Source organism: Homo sapiens, chromosome 8 (genome assembly GCF_000001405.40).
Source record: "Homo sapiens chromosome 8, GRCh38.p14 Primary Assembly".
NCBI lineage: Eukaryota > Metazoa > Chordata > Mammalia > Primates > Hominidae > Homo > Homo sapiens.
This window is the reverse complement of record NC_000008.11, coordinates 70,419,424-70,441,899: the sequence shown is the minus strand read 5'-3', so window position 1 is coordinate 70,441,899 and position 22,476 is coordinate 70,419,424. Positions and strand designations below refer to the sequence as shown.

The window sequence follows — 22,476 nt, the reverse complement described above, 5'->3', positions numbered from 1 at the left end:
CAGATTCTCTCAGGGGCCTGAAGACCTGAGAGTCAGTTTGTCTGTCTGTCTTTCTGTCTTTCTTTCTTTCTTTCTTCTTTCTTCTTTCTTTCTTTCTTTCTTTCTTTCTTTCTTTCTCTTCTTTCTTTTCTTTCTCTCTCTTTCTTTCTCTCTTTCCTGTTTCTTTCTCTCTTCTTTCTTTCCTTTCTTTCTTTTTCTTTTCTTTCTTCTTCCTTTTCTCCCACCTGTGACCATGACCCTGTTAAATGCAGATTCTCAGGGGCCTGAAGACCTGAGAGGCTTGCTTGCTTGCTTTCTCTCTCTCTTCTTTCTTTCTTTTCTTTCTCTTTCTTTCTCTCTTTCCTCTTTCTTTCTCTCTCTTTCTTTCCTTTCTTCTCTTTTTCTTTCTTCTTTTCTTTCTCTTTCTTTCCCTTCTTTGCTTGTTCTCCCTCTCTCTTTCTTTTCTTTCTTTTTTCTTTTTTCTTTCTCTTCTCCCTCTTTGTTTTCTTTCTCTCTTCTTTTCTTTCTTTCTCTTTCTTCTTTCTTTCTCTCTCCTTTCTTTTCTTTGTTTTTCTCTTTCTTTCCTCTTTCTTTCTCTCTCCTTTCCTCTTTCTCTTTTCTTTCTTTTCTTCCTTTTTTATTTCTTTCCTTTTTTCTCTTTCCCCTTTCTTTCTCTTTCCTCTTTCTTTCTTTCTTCTTCCTTTTCTCCCACATGTGACCATGACCCTGTTAAATGCAGATTCTCTCAGGGGCCTGTAGACCTGAGAGTCTTTCTTTTTTCTTTCTTTCTTTCTTTCTCTTTCTTTCTTTCTCTCTCTTCTTTCTTTTCTTTCCTCTCTCTTTCCTTTCTTCTTTCTTTCTCTCTTTCTTTTCTTTCTCTTTCTTTCATTTCTTTCCTTCCTTTTTAAATTTCTTTCCTTTCTATCTTTCCTCTTTCTTTCTCTCTCCCTTTCTTTTCTTTTCTTTCTTTCTTCTTCCTTTTCTCCCACCTGTGACCACGACCCTGTTAAATGCAGATTCTCTCAGGGGCCTGAAGACCTGAGAGTCTGTCTTTCTTTCTTCCTTTCTTTCTTTCTCTCTTTCCTCTTTCTTTCTTGCTCTCTTTCCTTTCTTGTCTTTATTTCTTTTTCTTTCTTCTTTTCTTTCTTTCCTTTCTTTCCTCTTTCTCTCTTTCTTTTCTTTCTTTCTCTCTCTCCCTCTTTTTCTTTCTTCTTTTCTTTCTTTCCTCTTTCTCTCTTTCTTTCTTTCTCTCTCTCCCTCTTTCTTTTCTCTCTCTCTCTTCTTTCTTTCTTTCTCTCGCTCTCTCTTTCTTTCTTTCCTTCCTTCCTTGTCTCAGTCTCTCTCTCTCTCTCCCTTATCTCACTCTGCCACCCAGGCTGAAGTGCAGTGGCGCATCTCGGCCCACTGCCACCTCTGCCTCCCAGGTTCAAGCAATTCTCGTGCCTCAGCCTCCCGAGTAGCTGGGACTACAGGTGTGTGCCGCCACACCTGGCTAATTTTTGTATTTTTTGTTAGAGACGGGGTTTTACCATTTTGGCCAGGCTAGTCTCAAACTCCTGACCTCAGGTGCTGGGATTCCAGGCGTGAGCCACCACTGCTAGCTGAGATTACTCATTTGTTTCTTTCTTTCTTTTTTTTTTCTTGGAGACGGAGTCTCGCTCTGTTGCCCAGGCTGGAGTGCAGTGGTGCAATCTTGGCTCACTGCAACCACTGCCTCCAGGATTCAAGCAATTCTCCTGCTTCAGCCTCCCGAGACTACAGGTGTGCGCCACCATGCCCAGCTAATTTTTGTATTTTTAGTAGAGATGGGGCTTCACAGTGTTAGCCAGGATGGTCTCGATCCTCGTTTCTAACAAGCTTCCAAGTGAGATGATGCTGCTGGTTTGGAGACAACAAGGAGCTGTGCTACCAATGGGTCTCTCAGTGGCCTTTTCGGGTCCCAGAGTCTTTGGCAAGATTGCTCTCTTGACACCTTGTCTTAATTTTGAGGTACTGAGCACAGAGCATGTTGGGCTCCAAGGGAAAATTGGTATAGGTGGAGACGGGTTGGCGAGAGGCCCAGCACACGGCAGGCCCTCTGACAGGGGCAGCCCTGAAAGGACAGCGACGGGATGAATAGAGTCCATGCAGGCTTGATCCAGAAGGCTCCACCTTGGCACAGAGCAGCAGAAGCCTCCTCCGCGGGGCTGAGATTGTAAACTGAGCCAGGTGGGCATCTGGGTTGGAAGTCCTTCCTCAGCTCTGTTCCACCCTGGGAATGCCTCTGCTATTTTCTTACAGTACTATGTTCACCTTATCCACGTATTAGATCTTCCTTCTCTATCTGACAGTACACTTCTTAAGGCAGAGCCACGCGTTCTACTCATAGCACATAGAACTTGCTCAGTAAATTTTTTTGAATGGTTGAATGAATGAGGTATTGCATCTTCATTTGTGCTGTTTCCTCCCCCCGAGTGCCTTCCCCATCTTGTCTGACTGATCAGACCCAAATCGCTTAGAAGACTCAGCTCAAGGGTCACCTCTTCCCTGGTTTTCCCTGTTCCTCCTTCTCACTGGCCAGGTACTGTGGGGCACTGCTCTTCTTGAATGCTACCGCTACACTTTGTCCATGCGGCCACTACTCCATTATGTCTCTGTGAGTTCCTTCAGGGCAGGGACTGTGTTTAACTTAGTTTTGACTCCCTGGCACTTAGCACAGTGTTTGGACATAGTAGCACTCCATATATAACTGGGCATAGCAAGAGACATACAAACTTAGGAATTTAAACCACAGATAAAAGGAAAAAAAGGCAGTATTTTATATTGAATTAGTCCCTGTCATCAGAGGATATTATAGGACCTATACACAGCAATCCCTGTTAAACTTGGTTAATGGAGTAACTATTACTTTACCAATTTTCCCTAAGGATAACCTTAGAAAAAGAGTATAAGCCCTTAGAAAAGGACTTAGGCAGAAGCCCAAATTTCTGGATAGAAAGAGGACAATGCAGAAAACCATTGGAATGTAGGGCCTATAGAATGCCCTCTATTCAGATATCCTGAAACATCCCAATGACTACATTTCCACCCCCTCACCTCGGTGTTTGGTATCACATAGACTTGAGCCTTCAACTAAATTCTAAAATTGGAAAAAATAATCTAAAATTGGAAGAAACCTTTTGTCCTAGCTACTGGAAGCCAGTGTTATTTATTCCCAGATCAAGGTCCTTATTAAAATGCATGTATTTTTTAAAATAAATGTAAATTCAATGGCAACGAGTCCTCAATATAAAACTCTCCAATCAGGCCAAGTCAATCTCTTTAAAATTTTCCCAACAGTCACAATTTATAAAACATGTAAGCCAAACCCAATAAATCAAGTAAATAGCATTGCATAATGGAGGCTTAAATATAGAACAAGACAAGCCAGAAAAGTTCAATTAAGTAAATGCTGTACATATGTCTAGCTTTGGTGAGGTCAGTATAATATATTGGGTTATTTTAGTATAAAGCCAAGTAAAATAAGATAATTTAATGATTAAATAAAAAAGAGGAAGAAAAAAGAATGAAATGAATACTTTAGGAAAATATAATGGACCAAAAAGTCCTAGAACAAGCTAGGGTTTTGAATTACAATACACTTTTAATAGAAACCCTAGAATTAGTAAATAGGAAAGTTGTGAAACTCTGAAAACAACACAAAAATAGAGTGAAATTCTCTGAATAATTAGTGCATACTATTGTAATTGTGATTTTTAAATCCTAAATTGTTTTCAGATAATTAATATGTAGCAAAAGCAAAATGTACATATATGATATAAAGTTACCATGGAGATATTAGGCCATTGAAGGAGTATGTAACTCTGAAACAATCGGATGAAAATGAAAAATGTATCTAATCATCCAGATGTTTTGTCTACACAGTTGCAAAATTATAATATTTCAAGCTATGTGGGTGATTTAATGAACTTACATTTTTCCTATGAATGTTTGATCCTGGCCAACAATGTTTTCTACCTCTTTGCAGTAGAAAGGGGATCCTATCAATTAGGAAAAACTTAACTCATGAAAAATACAACTGTTACATGTATGTATAATACAATATCCATGAGCAAATGTCTATAATGATTATGTTGTCAAACTAATCATGATTACCTTTTCTCTTCTAATATTTTTTGCTGTACATTCATTTATTTTGTTCTTCACTGATGCTTACAGGCAAAAAAAAGAGACTGTGACTACTGTAAGTCTTCAAATGCTTAGAAAAAATATATAGGAGAAAAACTTTAAGTGGAGAAATCTATCCATGAATGTATTGTCTTATGCACTGGGAAACAGGAGCCATTTTTAAATTTTACCAGAAAAACACTTTTGGACAATTTGTATGTCATCATTGTGTCTGAACATAAACTTGAAGATTATTTCTTCGGTCAAACCAGATTTTTTATCAGTTTCCAAACACACCTCTGTGCTTTCCTTGGCTCATATTAATTCATGTATTCATTCAATACCAATTATTAAGCACCTGGTAGGTGTCAGACATTCTGCCAGATGCAGGTAATACAAAGGTGAAGTAATACACACAGTTGGTGCCCCCGTGGAGCTTATGATCCACTGGGGCACACAGACTTCAATCAAGTGATCATACAAATGAATGGCATGAGAGCCTGTGTGAGAGGATTTGATCTCCAAGGCTTCCCTGAGGAGGTGGCACTTGGGCTGGGGTCTGAAGGATAATTAGGAGTTACATAGGTAAAAAGGTGGTACAAAGTTGTTCCAGCCAGAGGGAATAGCATATGTAGAAATCATGTGACAGGAGAGAGGGTACCAGGAACTAAGATGGGCCTATGTGGCTAGACCAGAGAAAGGACAGGAACATGTTCAGGTGAAGCTCCAGAGAGAAAGTATGTGACAGAGCACGCCCCTTGCAGGGCCTTGTAAATGAATGGAATTTCATCATATCCCAAGATATTTTTCCTAAAAGGCCCTTTGAAATCCTATATGGCCGTTCTCAAATGCCACCTCCTCCAAAATGCATTTCCCAATCCCCTCAGCTAAATGTGTTGTTCCCCTCCTCTATGCTTCAGATAACGGTGGTCATACCTGTGTCGTCTCATTATCCCTTTCTGCCTTGTATAGTGGTTATGTGTGCTGCTTAGTGTCAGGGTTGTGAGTTTATTCACCTTTGTATTCCACACATATGTAATAAGTGATCAATCCATGTTTTGAATAGCTTCAATTTAATCAGCACTCTGGTTCAGCAATTTGAGCCACTGCTTTTTCATAATCAAAACTGCTGGTTAAAGCCTTTAGTAGTTCTATGGAGTGGATAAAGGATTTTGACAATCACAGGTAAACTATGAAATGTGTGGCAAAATATTGTTACATCTAGGCAAACTGGAGGAGATATGACATACCTGGGTACATGGCTTACTGATATGGGAACACGAAACCATTTGTAGCTCAGTATTCAACTTCACAGCTGCACGAGAACTAATGGCCTTTACCATGTTGTGAAAGTTCCTAGGAATGCTGTGTGATCCTGAGATGTGGGTGACCTCCAAGGGCAGGTGCTCACTTTATACCTGACCAACTTTCACACATGTAATAAACGTTGGCTATATAATACTAAAAATTTGGAAAAAATTTTAAAATTTTAGTTGAACAGTCTACCAAATAACTCTGGTTTTATCTAGAATTGTGGTAATGCTTACAAATAATCAACGTCTGGGCATTAGGCTAAAACAGAAAATATGAGACATGGAAATAAAATGCATGCCTCTGAAAACTAGTACCTAGTTTTATTATTTGTTTTTTGTTTTGGTATCTAGTTTTTGGGGAAAGAATTACTTTTTTTCCTTTAAAAATATGGCTTTATTAAACACAGTTGAATAAAACTTATATGAAGTCAATTCATTCTTACACATCATGGAGAGGAAAAACGATCATGGATAAAACTAATAATAAAATGTTTTCTATGTCAGACGTCGTGGCACGCACCTGTAGTCCTAGCTACTCAGGAGGCTGAAGCAGGAGGATTGCTTAAGCCTAGGAGTTAGAGGTCAGCCTGGGCAACATAGCAAGACCTTGTCTCTAAAAAAGGTTTTCTAAATTATAAGCAGCAAAATTATTAAACACAAAGTGAACATTCACAAAAATAAATGTAACAAGATAAAATTAAAATAAAGAAAAGAAAGAGAGGAAGATCATATATATATATATATAAGTGTAAGTATTATACTTATATATATATAAGTAGAAAAGGAGTAATTGCTGTTTATGTGTTAGGCTTGCTAGGTATTTTACATGTGTGAATTTATTCAATCTTCACAGCACTCCTATGAGGACAGTACTATTATTATCCCCATTTTACAGAAGAGAAAACTGGAGAACAGAGAGATTAAGTAGCTTGTACAAGGTCACACAGCTAAAAAGCAGTAGAGCTAGGACCTCAGTTGGGGCAGTGTGACTCTCCAGAGTGTGTATTCTTTTTTTTTTTTTTTTTTTTTTTTTTTTTGAGACGGAGTCTCACTCTTTCGCCCAAGCTGGACTGCAGTGGCGCTATCCCGGCTCACTGCAAGCTCCGCCTCTTGGGTTCATGCCATTCTCCTGCCTCAGCCTCCCGAGTAGCTGGGATTACAGGCGCCCACCACCACGCCCGGCTAATTTTTTGTATTTTTAGTAGAGACGGGGTTTCACCGTGTTAGCCAGGATGGTCTCGATCTCCTGACCTCGTGATCCGCCCGCCTCGGCCTCCCAAAGTGCTGGGATTACAGGCGTGAGCCACCGCGCCCGGCCGAGTGTGTATTCTTAATGAGAGCAGAAATTGATTTTTAGGGGATAAAAACAAAATCTTAGATATTACCAAGGTTTGTGGCCCTCCCAAGGGACAGATACATAAACAGTCACATAGTACACAAATAGAATTAAAATCTCATGGGGAAGGAGAGATTGGTTAAGAAAAATATGTCTAAAATATCTCCTTAGGAGTGCAATGAAAATGAAGGCTGAGGGCAGTGGTTACACCTGTAATCTCAGATTCATTATATAAATGAGATCATTAGCATATGTGTTGTCATCAAAATCATGGGAGTGGATGAAATTGCACTTTGAGAAACCAAGGTGGGAGGATGGCTTGAACCCAGGAGTTCAAGACCAGGCTGAGCAACACAGTATTACCCCTATCTTTATGAAAATTTTAAAAAAATTATCTGGGCATGGTGGCACCCACATGTAGTTCTAGCTACTTGGAGGCTGAGGCAAGAAGATCACGTGAGCCCCGAAGGTCAAGGCTGCAAGGAGCTATGATTCCATCACTGAGCTCCAGCCTAGGCAACAGAGCAAGACCCTGTTTCCAAAAAAAGAAAAAAGAAAGAAAGAAAGAAAATGAGATTGAGAAACACTACGCTAAAGTTTGTGCTCATAACTCCTATTTAATAATGCCTCTCAAGCTTCATGCTGTGTTTTTTCTTTTCTCAGAGAGCAAATTGAAGGGGTGATGTTCACATTTCATTAATAATGTGGATTCATGAGCTAGCTCCATAATGATGTAGATTCAGTCTGCTAGAATGTGTCAGTTCTGAAATAGCTAATTTAGCTATCTCCAAGTAATGTTATCGTATCAATTTTATCTCCAAGTTATTAATTATTGAAGTTTTCTTAAAACTTTATTTATAGTATGCTTGTTTTTATGGTATTCTGCTACAGAACATATGTTCCGATGACCGAAGACAATCCTGAGGAAACTTACAGAGTGGGTTCTGTTTATCCTGCCTGGCACTTTCCCTATTATTTTGGAGCTCCTCCTTGACCTCTGAGTTCTCTCTTTTAATCTTCCCTGGTTATTTATTTATTCATTAGACCCAGTAACATTTACTGAGGACCCTGTGCAATTTCATTCACTTCCATGATTTCGATGACAACACACATGCTAATGAGTCTCATTTATATAATGAATCTGAAATCTTTCATCCCAGCAAATATTTTTTTCCCTGAAGTTCCAGAGGACCAGACTGCCTAGTGGACATTTCATTGTCAAGTCCCCCAAATTACATAAAACTTAACACATCCCACAGGGAATGACCTTTTTCTGCATGTGTGCTTCTCCTCCTGGTGCCCCCTTTAAGAAGCGGCAACTTCATCCATCTCATCACCCAAGCCAGAAACCTGGAAGCATTTGTCACCGGTCACATTCAGCGAGTGACCAAGTCTTGACAACTGTACTTCCTTAACATTTCTCAGATCTTTACTCTCCTTTCTAGTCAAATATATTACTAAATTCACAGTCTTATCACTTCTGTCTAGAAAACTGTTCCCTGCTTTGAAACTCTTCAGTAGCGGCATTGCATAAAGAATGTAGGCCCTATATGATCTGACCTCATTGGGCATACCATTCCATCACCACTCACACTCTACATTTTTGAGGCTTGTAACTCATTTTTAACAAGGTCACTTTGAAAATGTCTGAATCAGAGGCCCTAAATTGGCATATGGGAATCCACCAAAGCTACCTTTGACATATAGAATGGAAAACATGTCCTGTATTTGTTGCCTGAATGTGAATTCCTACCTAAAGTGGACTCCTCTTTTTTTTTTTTTAGTGTACTTCTCTTAAAAGCAAAGACATCAAACAAAATATATTGCTATCACCCCTACAGTGCCTTGTGTACTATAGATGCTCAATAAATATATTTTGACAAAAATCACTATTGACTATTATTCTACAGACTTGCATGTTCTTTCTCTTGGAAATAGAATTATGTTATGAGACCACAGTATTTCTTATTCATATAATTTGATGGGAGGGCAGACAAAATAAACTATAAATTCAATTTACTGACTTACTTATTGAGGAAATTGAGATATTACCAAGTAAAATATAAATATCCAGTCCACTTTTTCAAAAGACAGATATGTAAAAATATAGTTATTGCTAAAACTGGTTTGTGACATGCTTTCTCAGTTTATTTAATGTAATTATAGCCTGTAATCAATATATAAACAATAGAATTCCCAAGTAATACATAAATCACTGAAAGAAATAGATTAAAATCAGCTGTTTTTTGTTAAAATATTGGGGCTTTAACCAAAACATAGATTTTTAACTTTGCTATATCTAAACTTATTATAGGAAATATAAAAATACATATAAGCATGAAATTACCATTAAAAAGAATTTTTATTGTAATTTTATTTCCTGGGAATTCAGCATTTATTTGTTTTTGTGAGTGAACCCTAGGATTTTACTTTATTTTATTTATTTTTATTTATTTATTTTTTGAGACAAGGTGTCACTGTATTGCCCAGGCTGGAGTGCAGTGGTGCAATCCTAGCTCACTGAAGCCTCCATCTCCTGGGTTCAAGCAATCCTCCTGCCTCGGCCTTTCGAGTAGCTGGGACTACAGGTGCATGCCCCTAGGCCTGGTTAATTTGTTTTTATTTTTGTAGAGACAGAGTCTTGCTTTGTTGCCCAGGCTGATCTCAAACCCCTGGCCTCAAGCAATCCTCTCACCTTGGCCTCCCAAAATTCTGGGATTACAGGCATGAGCCACCGTGTCCAGCCAAAACCCAGAATTTTCTGAGTTCAATTTTGGTTGGCCAACTGCCAGTCTGAAATGAAGACCCTCTCATCTAAAATCTTTGTAGAGCAGATACATCATAGAAATATTTCATTTGTAAATCAAATCCACAGATCCACAGAACTGTTTCATTTCAAAACTGTCTACTTCAGCCTCACTGTCAGGGAAATTGTTAACAGATTCAAAACCAGTAATGAAGATGGACTTGCAGTATCTTTGCAATGATCAGTATTAGCAAGTAGTGTAAATACCTATCTAGGACTCATCCATATAATCATCTGTACCTATGGTTATCAACCACTGGTTTACTTTTATGTCCTCCCTAATTTTGTGTGCTTGAGAGCACGCTCTGATTTTACCATTTACTATTCCGTTCAAATAAACTTTGATTCCTAGTCTGGTGCTAAATACAGAGTGCTCAAAAACATGTCTTTCAAGTGTATGAATTGATTTGAAAATACGTCTGTATCTTTTAAATCAGAACTATATGAATAAAAAATATTTTAGTAAATTGTCAAATTAGGTTGGTCACTGCCATATCTTTCAACACTATGTAAACAGTAATTGAAACTAATAGACTATTTGAAACATATTTTAATTAAAATTCATATACAAACCCATGTATAAAGTATATGTTAAGCTATGTATTTTACACAGATTTCTGCTATTAAATTTATCTAAGCATATTCAAGGTTTGAAATGCATATAGCCCAAAGAACGAATACTTCATTCATCATGAAAGACTAATTTGTTTTATGAGAGTGTGGAATAAGCATTCACCACAAGAAAACATTTTAGTACAACCACCTTTCACAAATAGTGTATTTCTGGTTTCTTGCTCTACAGTGGAAGAGCTACAAAAAGCAAAAGCAAACACCTTTGTGGTAATCAATAAGTAGCATTAGTGCTACATATATTATGCTTCCAACAGAGTTGGGTCTATTTTTGTTTTATGTTTCAATGTACAGCATTATCCTTTGGCAATGTCAAGAGAATGAAAAATGTGCTGTTTATAAAATGAAGTATTGAGCTTATTTTAGATATCACATCTTACAAAAACACTCTCAAAATGCAAAAGCGAACCCTCCAAGTTCAATAGAATAATGTATATTGGAAAGGGGTAGAAATAAATTATTTATTATACATAATAAAATATTTATTTAATTTAAAATATATACACATAATTCCACAAGCCAGCAAAATTGAACTGTCATTTTTGAGATTCTCAGCCAGTCTTTACTTATCTGCATATATAATTTTTACATATTGTAATGGAATAAAATCACACTTTCATAAGATAGAGTTTAGTGTTTTAATGTCATTTGCAACAATTTGCCTTATTATTGACATAAAACTCCAACATACAGCTTGTTTTGAGCATTTATCAGTGGAGACCTTCATTTTTGGCCAGATTTCGTAAATCCATTTATTAACTAGAAATAAGTTGATAGATAAGGTAGAAAAAAACCCGTTATTTATTAAACTCAACATACCTTTTTTACTTCATTTCCTGGATTCTTGAATCTTTAATCCAATTAGCATTAGGCTGTGGAGTATGAAAAATAATCGGCAAAATCATTACTCAGGTGAGAGTTCCTTCTGATGACCTGTGTGTCTTCCTCCTCACTCCAACACTATTACTTTACCTTCCAGTTAAGAAACGAAGCAACCATTTTTTTTAATTGAGTGAAAGGGAACATTTTTGTTTTCCTTACAGATTATTAAACGTAATGCCGAACTAACCTATCATGACAGCCAATGAGGCAGTGGTTGAGCCAAAGAAAGGGGGTAGAGGGCAGGAAACTGAGCGAGGAACTGCCACAAGGCAGAAGAAAACATTTGGAGATGACTATGTTGGCTATCTCCATCAAGGTGGCGGTTTCAAGGATATATACATATGTCAAAATTTACCCACTGTAATTAACTGCTGTTTATTGTGTGCCAATTATCCCTTTATAAAGCTGTAAAAAATGTAGTGCTATTGTAAAAGTAAAGATAATTATTGAAGTAAAAGTAGTTATCAAATGTCTGTGATGTTATGCCATTTTCCTTAAAGGGGCAAGAGATTTTGCCTTTTTATCTCATTTTATCTGTAAGGTAAATTCAAAATTTTGGGAAAGCTTACTTAAGGCAAGACTAATTTTCCATATATTGTTTAGCTTGCTTTCTATTACAATTCATAGTTGCACTTCACCATTATTAAAAAATACAGGTTGGGCTCAGTGGCTCATGCCTGTAATCCTAGCACTTTGGGAACCCGAGATGGGAGGATCACTCGAGCCCAAGAGTTCAAGATCAGCCTGAGCAACAAAGTGAGACCCTATCTCTACACGAAATAAGAAAATTAGCCAGGTGTGGTGGCACACTCCTGTAATCCCTGCTGCTCGGAAGGCTGAGACAGGGGGATCGCTTCAGCCCAGCCATGATCACACCATGGCACTCCAGCCTGGGCTGACGGAGGGCGACCCTGTCTCAAAAAAAGAAAACAAAACAAAAACCCCACACACACAAAAACAAAAGCAAAGGTCCTTTAACTAAAAATAAAAATAAAACATGTATTAAAGCCCTACATTCTTTTTGAGTGTACAAATCACTTTTGCTGATATCTTTATGATTTTAGTCTTTAATCCTGTTCTTGAAATTGACGATTGAGATTTAAAACCTCATATGTATTACTTTTATACTCTCCATTTATGGTTAATTATGATTGTTCCATATTTCCCCTTATTCTTTGCCTGTATAAGAAGACAGTGAGATGTCAAACAAGATTCTTAGGGATGACTTTACAACCATCACAACTCTGGGAGAAATTGCCCTACATGTGTACAAAGTGACTCTAATCTAGAAAGAAACATAAATTTACAAATAAAGTAGCAAGCAAGAAAGGATGAAATGGAGGAAGGAAGGGAAGCAGAAAGAAAAATGCATACATTAAGGGGAATTACAACACAGTTACAGCACTCCTGCTTTATTGTAAAGGCATACCTAAGTAGCTCCACTTAATTGAAAGGCTTGTCACCTCTGGAACAACCTTGTGGATGCTTTCAGCCTCCACAACTCTGAGCAGAGAAATTGCCTTCATTTAGCAGGAGCAATCTTGAAGGTTGGTGCTCACCCTCATGCCCCAGCACCCATGCACATATTTTTACCAGGCTTCAAACATAAATGAAAGAATGGGGCCTATTATAGTATTGCTGCAAAACATCTCAAAATTATGCATTTATAATTCCTGAAGGTAAGCTGATGTGCACTGTACTCAGCTTGATCCAGACAAATATGTTTTGGCATGAGGCAGAATAATGAAAAATTGGTATTTTGAAATTTGTGAAGGTTTTGAAATGCAGAGACTCCAAAATAGTTAAATATTGACATCAGCCACAATATATCTTCCTTCTTCTTATATGAGATTGAAAATCATACAAAAACATATATAGTCGTTTCCCACAGTAAGTAGCTGACATGAAGTGATAGCTTTTGTTCTAAACTTTTTTTTTTTTAGCAAATTAGCTCGGCATGGGCACATGTTAGATTGCCACACAGAGGGCATATTGCTCGCTGAGCAATTTGCCCTACAGAATAGTTGCTATGCTGCCTTGCTTTGGGCACACTGCTAAGCTAAATTCCTGTCTCCTGTCATCATTGACAGTAGAACAGCTGGAAATTAAAGATTGCAAGATACATTATAATTTCTTCCTTAAACAATTTTTTTAGATAACAGCAAGTTATTTTTATTTTTATTTTTAGATATGGTCTCACTCTGCCACCCAGGTAAAGTGCAGTGGCGCAATCCCAGCTCACCGCAGCCTTGACCTCCTGGGCTCCAGCAATCCTCCTGCCTCAGCCTCCTGAGTAGCTGGGACAACAGGCATGTACAACCATGGCTGACTAATTTTTATTTTTATATTTATAGAGAAAGACAGGTCTTGCCCAGGATGAAGTGAAGTGGCATGATTATAGCTTACTGCAGCCTCAACCTCCCAGGCTCAAGGGATCCTCCCGCCTCAGCCTCTGGAGTAGCTGAAATTATAGGTGCATGCCATCATGCCCTGCTAATTTTTGTATTTTTTTTTTTTTGTAGAGACAGGTTCTCCCTATGTTTCCTGGCTGGTGTCAAACTCCTGAACTCAAGCAGTCCTCCCTCCTCAACTTCTCAAAGCACTGGGATTATAGGTGTGAACCACCATGCCTGACCAGCAAAAGTATTCTGAGAAAACCTTCGAGGGGAAATATAGCCTATTTTTATCAATCCTGCCATGAGAACCATGTTAATTTTCTCAATTTTTTTTCCTTATTTGTATGTCATTTTAATCAGAGATTCAAGTATATTTTATTCAAAATTTTAAACATTTTAGACTTTCCTTTTTCACTTAAAAAAAACCTCAAGAAGGACAGGTTTATGTGAACTGATTTTTGTGGCATATAATTGTGACATTTATCCATACGTAACTAAAATACTGAATTTATGAAGCTGGAAAAGCCACAACATCACAGTTATACCCTGCCTGGTTTGACTTCCTAGAAAGTGAATGTAAACCACTGGCTTGCAATCATGTTGACGGAGTGTCACATGGCATATGTCATAAATTTGGGGACCACAGAGCTCCTCTCCTGGCATCTTCCTCCTACGGCCAACTTTCAGCATAAATAGTTTGCTCCAGTAAGTTGAGAGAAATTGAACAGGGGCAGAGGCTGGGAGAAGGGGTACCACTTGTACAAATTGTGGGAAATCACTACTCAACTTTTTATAACATTAAGACACTTTGTAAGGGCTTTTAGAATATTCAAGCAGCAGGTTATCGAGCTATTTGCTTGGGGCTTTTTTTGGTACTAAAATATTTAAATGATATAACACTATTTCGCTGACCAATAGATAATCTGAGGAAATTTAACTGCTTTTAAATAGAGATGTAAGATTAGTAAATGAAAAGGTGTTACACTTTATATATCTGATTCTAGTAGATCATTCGTGTGAACACATCCCTACTTATGCTCAGATATAATTCTCTACCTGATGATATCTTACTCTTCCTTTTTAAAGTAAAACTTTTATATTTAAAGATTCATAGTTAATTTTCATTTTATTTCTCATTTTACTAGTTTCTCTGTTTTAATGAAATGCTCATTTTTCCTCCTGAAAACCAAATTATTACTAACTTCAAGGCCACTTTAAAAATATTAATTTAATTGAGAATTACAATTTGGCACAGTGTTAGAATATAATACATACTGAATATAATTTAGGCTTTCTTGGCTTAAAAAAACAAAACCAGGCCAGATATACTAGTATTACTGTGCTCACACCTGTAACCCCAGCACTTCAGGAGGCTGAGGTTGGAGGATCACTTGAGCCCAGGAATTCAAAACCAGACTGTGCAACATAGGGATAAATTTAAAAATTTAAAAATTAGTAGAGTGTGGTGGCACACACCTGTAATACCAGCTACTTGGGAAGCTGAGGCAGGAGGATCCTTTGAGCCCGGAAGGTTGAGGCTACAGTGAGCTATGACAGTGACACTGCACTCCAGCCTCAGCAAGACCCTGTCTCTAAAAACACAAAACCAAAAACCAATTCAGAGTTTTGTAGTGTCTCATCCTCACCACCATATTCATTCATTCACTCATTGATTCATTTCAGCTCTATTTTTTGAGTTTACTACATGCCGGGCACAGAACAAGGTGCAAGAAATTTTAAAACAAACAGATGCATAAGACATAGACCTTGCCCTCCACGAACTTGGATCAAATAATATTGAATGGGTAGATCAAAGAACCACTCACTAAAGCTTTCTAGTTGACAGCATGCCAGGTATCAAAGAGTTCACAGTGCCTGCCTTTAACTTAAAGCATGACAGGTTTTCTGCTGGTCTTTTAGTCAGTTCTTAGTTTATATTCCAGTGCCCATAATTATGTCAATTTGAATTGATTTCTTCAGTACAATTTCATGTAACTATATGAATAATTTATAAAATTAAATATATAAAGTGTAATACCTTATCATCTATTAATCACACTGATCTGTTGAAAGGCAGTTATTTTGTTTCTTAGTTTTATTTTAGTATGAATGTTTTTATCGGTCACAAAAATAGTGTCATATCATATACACATTTTGCTTGCTCTGAAACATGTTCAGTATCTCTAAGAGTGCATTAGTTTAGATTATCAGTTGTAATGGATGGAATGACTAGTCTACCTCCCAAACTTGTTACTTCCCAGTAGAAGGTATTAGGTCATCTCTCTTTTGGCCCAGAGGCATAAATTACCCCACTATGAAGAGAAGAGTTTTGCTGTTTACTTAGCATCTAATTTTTATTCTCTGCTCAGATTTATTTCATGAATAATATACCTGAAAGAGCTAAGGGAAATGAAGACAGTGATCCAGATAATTTTGGAAAATCCAGTTCCATTCACATTCCATCCTCTGATTGTGCCTTAGGCCTGTTGCTTGGAAGAGCAAATGAGTCGTGGACCCAGACTCAGGCTGGGGAGCAGGCAGTCCTAGGGCCATAGTGGCACACAAAGCCCCTAGCACCAAAGGCATCACCAGGCATGGGCAGTGCAGCCAGTGGGGAGGGTATGGGGTTTGCATCATCTTTTCTACTTCCCACATCTTCTCCCTTGCGTTCTGTCTGAATTAAAGACACCACCCAGGTGCTAAAAACTAGACTTAGTGTGCAAGCAAAGAAGACAGTATCAGGATTGACGTTGAAATTTAGGCTGGATAAGGAGGAAAGTGAGGATTTGATTTGGGTGAAGCACGGTGAAAAAGTAATAGAAACAATTGGTCATGGATCTGATGGGTGGAATAATTGTTGCCATTGAGGCAGTAAAAGGAATGGAGTGAAAGTGGCTAAGAAGGTAGAGGAATGGGGCAGGGAACAGGATGTGAGGAGTTCAGGGAGGGGAGTTAGTTTAAGCTTCAAATTCTAGTGTGGCCACCGAAGGGAGGGGCTGGGTGGGGTGACAGGCAGTCTTTAAAGGAGGGCACCACTAAATTCTCAGGAGTCACCACTAAAGAACTCATCCATGAAACCAAAAACCACCTGTACCCCAAAAACTATTGAAATGTTTTAAAAATGCAGATTAAAAAAAATAAAGGGGAGCACTGCAGGTACTGAGAGCCCAGAGTGAGTGATTCTTAGAGAGATGGTTGGAATGGAGATGGAAATAACAAGACCTCATGCTTAGTGCAAGGATGCCTTCCAGAAACAGGAGTGCTAACTGAATTCCAGCTTTGGGAGGGTATTTAGTATTGCCTAGTTTCTAGAAGATGCATTTCTGTCATCGCCTATCACCTACCTTCCGCACATGTTAATGTACAAGTAGGAGTTTAGTGGCTGAGATCTCTGTTTATGTATGTCCTTTAGAACTGTCCTAGTGGAGTGAGTGGCCCTCACTTCAGCAGCCTGGACATTTGAACACTCCACCCATTTGGGAGGTGGGGCACTTGGCAAATGATGATCCACGCTGCCTTTTGAACTGCCCTTGAGCTAGGGATGGTTTGTACATCTTCAAGTGGATGGAAACAACTCAAAAGAAGAGTAACACTTTGTAAGCAATGAATATTACATGAAATTCACATTTGCGTGCTTAAATAACGTTTTACTGCAACACAGACCACCCATTGTTTCACATTGTCTGTGGCTGCTTTCCTACTACAAAGACAGAATTGAGTAGTTAGGACGGGGATCACGTATTTCACAAAGGCTAAAATATTCACGATCTGGCTTTTTGCAGAAAAAGTTTGCTCTTCCACAGGAGGCCTGCACACCGCCGCTTGTGCTGCTGCCTTATCTCTTGTGATCCCTGAGAAATTCCAGCATATTTTGCGAGTACTCAACACCAACATCCATGTTGGCAGAAAATAGCCTTTGCCATCACTGCCATTGAGGGTGTGGGTCGAAGATATGCTCATGTGGTATTGAGAAAGCAGACACTAACCTCACCAAGAGCACAGGACTCTCTGAGGATGAGGTGGAACATATGATTGCCACTAAGCAGAATCCATGCATTCAAGATCCCCAACTGGTTCTTGAACAGGCAGAAGGATGGAAAGGCTGGAAACTATAGCCAGGTCCTGGCGAATGATCTGGATAACAAGCTCCGTGAAGACCTGGAGCAACTGAAGAAGATTCCAGCCTGTAGAGGGCTGCACCACTTCTGGGGTCTTCGTGTCTGAAGCCAGCACATTAAGACCACTGGCCACTGTGGCCATACTATGGCTGTGTCCAAGAAGCACTAAGTCTGTGGCCTTGTCTGCTAATACATAGTTTATATACCAAAAGAAAAAGGAAAAGAGAAAGTTTGCTGCTCCCTGCTCTAAACATTAAATAACCATTCATTTGTATATCCTCTGGAAAACAAACTATCTGCTGTATGCTAAGGATCCTCATCAAAAAATAAGATGTTAATCACAGGAGAGGCCATTGTGCAGCCAAGAAAAGAGATCGAGATCGGAGCTGAGGGAAGACTGGATTGGCGGAGAGTGTCGGGGACCCTGTGCTGGCTCTATTGCTGCTGTGGGACAAGAGTGTGCTGCCCAGGACCACTTGGCACAGATCTGGGGTGGATTGAACCCAATTTTACCCTGGTACCCCACTTTTGTAGCCAGTTACTCGTTCCTTTGAGTCTCCGCTTATTATTCCATGAAGTGGGATAGTGATTCCCTCACTGGGTGGTGACATGTGACAACCTTTACAGAAGGCCTTGTGTGGAGTCAGCCTTCGGTCATGTTCTCTTCCTTCCCCCTCATTAGGGCGAGACCTCCAAAAAGGACAAATTACAATTTATATCACCAAGAGACCATTTCACACACTGCAGCAATGAGAGAGAAAAATTTTCATCTTATGATCTCCTGCACTTCAGAGGATTCAATTAGAAAGTATAAAGAAAGCCCAGGCGCGGTGGCTCAATCCCAGCACTCCGGGAGGCCAAGGTGGGCAGATCACCTGAGGTCAGGAGTTCCAGACCAGCCTGACCAACATGGTGAAATCCCGTCTTTACTAAAAATACAAAATTAGCCAGGCATGGTGGTACATGCCTGTAACCCCAGCTACTTGGGAGGCTGAGGCAGGAGAATCACTTGAACCTGGGGGGCAGAGGTTGCAGTGAGCCAAGATCGTGCCATTGCACTACAGCCTGAGCAACAAGAACAAAACTCTGTCTCAAAACAAAACAAAACAAAACAAAAAACCACAAGAAAAAAAGAAAGTATAAAGAAGGCTCAGCCTTTACACTGAGCCAAGTGGAGGGAAAGAGTATAGTGGAGATGAAAACACACTGAGCTGTACCATGAACATCCCAATCAGGAGGTTAATACATTACAGTACAGCCATATGACTGAACATTATATAGCTCTTAAAAGAAAAATAATGAGTGGGGCACAGTGGCGGCCCCTGTAATCCCAGCCACTCAGGAGGCTGAGCCTAGGAGTTAGAGGCCAGCCTGGGAAACATAGCAAGACCTCATCTCAAAAGAAAAAATAAAAAGAAAACGTAACAACATTTTAATGACATACATAAAATATGAAAGATATGATAGTGAAAAATCAGAATATAAAATTGTATATACAATATGGGATTAACTGTATATTTAAAAGAAAAAAAACACAAAAAGAATAGGAAGGAATAAAAAGCTCATGAACTTTTTTTAAAAACAGCATTTTGGCCAGGCTCAGTGGCTCACACCTGTAATCGCAACACTGGGAGGTGGGAAGATTGCTTGAGCCCAGGAGTTCAAGATCATCCTAGGCAACATAGTAAGACCACGTCTCTACCAAAAACACGAAAATTAGCTGGGTGTGGTGGTGCACACCTGTAGTCCTAGCTACTTGGGAGGCTGAGGTGGGAGGATCGCTCGACCCTGGGAAGCAGAGGTTGCAGTGAGCTGAGATTGCACGACTTCACTCCAACCTGGGCAACAGAGTGAGACCCCAACACAAAAACAATGACAACAAAAAAAAAAAACACAGCATTTTGAGAAATAATTCACATACAAGGATATGCACCTTTAAGGCAAAACACGAGACTTCAAGAAAATTTGGACTTGCAGTGGGTGCTTCAGGTTGCCTTGGCTCTGAGCCACAGGCTACATTCTTTACTCTCTTAGAGGAATCTTGCAAGAAGCACTAGTTTAACTAAAGCTTTCAATTCCCTAACTTTGCAGAAAAGAAATTTGGGCCCCAGAGAAATGAAGAGACCTCCTTAAGGACACATAGCATCTTTTCTTTCTTTTTTTTGGTGGTTTGTTTATATTTTTACTTTTTTTTTTTCGAGACCGGAGTCTTGCTCGGTTGCCCAGCCTGGAGTGTAATGGCGCAATCTCAGCTCAATGCAACCTCCACCTCCCTGGTTCAAGCAATTCTCCTGCCTCAGCCTCCCAAGTAGCTGGGATTACAGGCACACTCCACCACACCTGACTAATTTTTGTATTTTTAGTAGAGATGGGGTTTCACCATGTTGGCCAGGCTAGTCTCGAACTCCTGGCCTCAGGTGATCCACCCTCCTCAGCCTCCCAAAGTGCTGGGATTACAGGCATGAGCCACTGCGCCTGGCATATATTTTTACTTTTTTAACTATATTTTTACTACATTTACTTTTTTTTTTTTACCAAAAGCCCAAACCTCACCACACGTATGCATCTAAATAGCAAAGTAGGAACCAGAACTTCAAGCTTCAAGTTTAATACACCTAAACATGCCAATCATTTAATATCTCTTTTCTAGTCCTCATCCACAGACACATATAGTTTTTATGTTTTCGGAATTATTATCGTATAGACACTAATTTAAAAAATACTTTTTTGTTGTTTGAGACAGGATCTCACTCTGTTACCCAGGCTTGAGTGTAGTGGTGCGATCATAGCTCACTGCAGTCTTGAACTTCTGGGTTCAAGCAATCCTCCTGCCTCCGCATCCTGAGTAGCTACGACTAGAGGCGCATGCTACCACACCTGGCTAATTGTTTTGTGTTCTTTTCTTGTAGAGATGGGGGTCTCGCTATGTTTCCCAGGCTAGTCTTGAACTCTTGGCTTCAAGTGATTCTCCTACCCTGGCCTCCCAAAGTGCTGGGATTACAGGCGTGAGCCACCGTGTCAAGATTTTAAAGAATTAGTATTCTAATACTAATTCTTTTTTCCCCTCTCAAGTTCTGTCATGTCAACTTTGATTCTTCTTTAGGCTTTCCTCTTAGTGTATTAGTCTGTATACCTAATACACTTGCTGTGTTTGCCTGCCTACACAGTATTTTTTGTAAAAGCCCCAAAAATTCAAAGAGCCCTTTTATTAGCATTTGTTAGAATCTCTGACCTCATTTTAAAATTTAAAATTAAATATTTTTTCCTTTTCAAAGTTTACCTCTTTAGATAGTACTTACAATCTTTCTCCTTAAGTTTTTAAAGATAACAGATACCTTAAAAAACACTTCTGGCCGGGTGCAGTGGCTCACGCCTGTAATCCCAGCACTTTGGGAGGCCAACGCAGGCAGATCATGAGGTCAAGAGATCGAGACCATCCTGGCCAACATGGTGAAACCCCGTCTCTACTAAAAATACAAAAATTAGCTGGGCGTGGTGGTGCAGGCTTGTAGTCCCAGCTACTCGGGAGGCTGAGGCAGGAGAATCACTTGAAACCAGGAGGTGGAGGTTGCAGAGAGCAGAGATCGCGCCTGCACTCCAGCCTGGCGACAGAGCAAGACTTGGTCTCAAAAACAAAACACAAAAACAACAACAACAAAGAACACTTCTGTCTCCAGCCACCCCCAGCCTCCTGAAGGGAGAAATGGACTCTTTAAACTCCCCACCTCCCTTCCCACAGCAAAGAACTTCTTTGCCACAATCATTAGAGACCTCGCTTTATTTTCATGCCCCTTAGAACATGCCATCGGTTGCTTCTCTCTTAGTTAGCATAGTAGTTCTCAGCCTTTCCTTCACATTAGACTCACCTGGGGTTGGGGGACTGGTGTTTCTAATTTATTTTTACTGGGATGGGGACATGATTCTCACTTTCAGCCAATTTCAGCCAAGATTAAGAACTTCTGCCTTGGATAAATAGGTTTAAATAAATGTGTTTTTCTAACGGTATTTTTGTTGTAAAATAAGTCCAGTTGGGAAAGTAAAAGACTTGGCCTTTGTGAAAGAAATTTCATTTAGTATCATTTGGAGCTGGCAGAGGAAGTATTTTTTGAACAAGACCATGGAAATTACACAACTAACTTTGTTCTCATCCATTCATTTATTTATTTACTATCCATTCATTAAAAACCTGCCCTGTGCCAGACACTAGAGATTTAAATATGGTTCTTGCTTTTAAGGGGCTTACAGTCTAATAGCAGGAGAAAAATACTCCAGCACATATGATAAAGTGACATATACGCTTGCCAGAGGCATGTGCACAGGCTTTCCCAAAATAAGGAATATGTTAAAATTTAATTTCAAGCATATTAACAAAGTGTATTTCTATAGCATTATACCTAAATCAAGTTTAAAAACTGTCGTCATTCATGGTTAATTGGAAGTCATGGGAAATGTATACAAACATTATAGTTATATCAATAGCAAATGGGAAGTTTATTTGAAATTGAAGTCACATTTGAGGGTGCCTTAAAATGACAAAACTGATTAACAGTTGGTGAAAAAAATAGTAAAAACTCAGTTTGGTAGATGACACAAATCATTTAGGATTATAGGAAAGGAGAGTTAAAGAGTTAGATGAAAAGCAAGTAAGCAATAAAAGTATATGAGAAAGGGACATTAAAACAGACCAAGAATAGAAAAGAAACAATAAGTAGGGACAAGAAAAAGGGCAAAAACAATAAGTAGGGACAAGAAAAGGGGCAAAAAAAGTAAAAGAGCCCATCGTAAAGAAAGTATAATCACTCTAGAATAGAGTTAAAATGTAGTTAAGATTATCACAAGTTAATGATATATTTAAAGGGAAGGAAAGAAT

The 22,476-nt window shown here is 39.0% G+C and overlaps 1 protein-coding gene and 1 pseudogene across 1 annotated transcript in view; both read left to right on the top strand.

Annotated features, from left to right (window-relative positions):
• NCOA2 (nuclear receptor coactivator 2) overlaps positions 1-22,476 on the top strand; it is a 346,665-nt gene that overhangs the window by 14,547 nt on the left and 309,642 nt on the right. The gene's annotated exons all lie outside the window — the stretch shown is intronic.
• Positions 17,281-17,813, top strand: RPS18P11 (ribosomal protein S18 pseudogene 11; annotated as a pseudogene).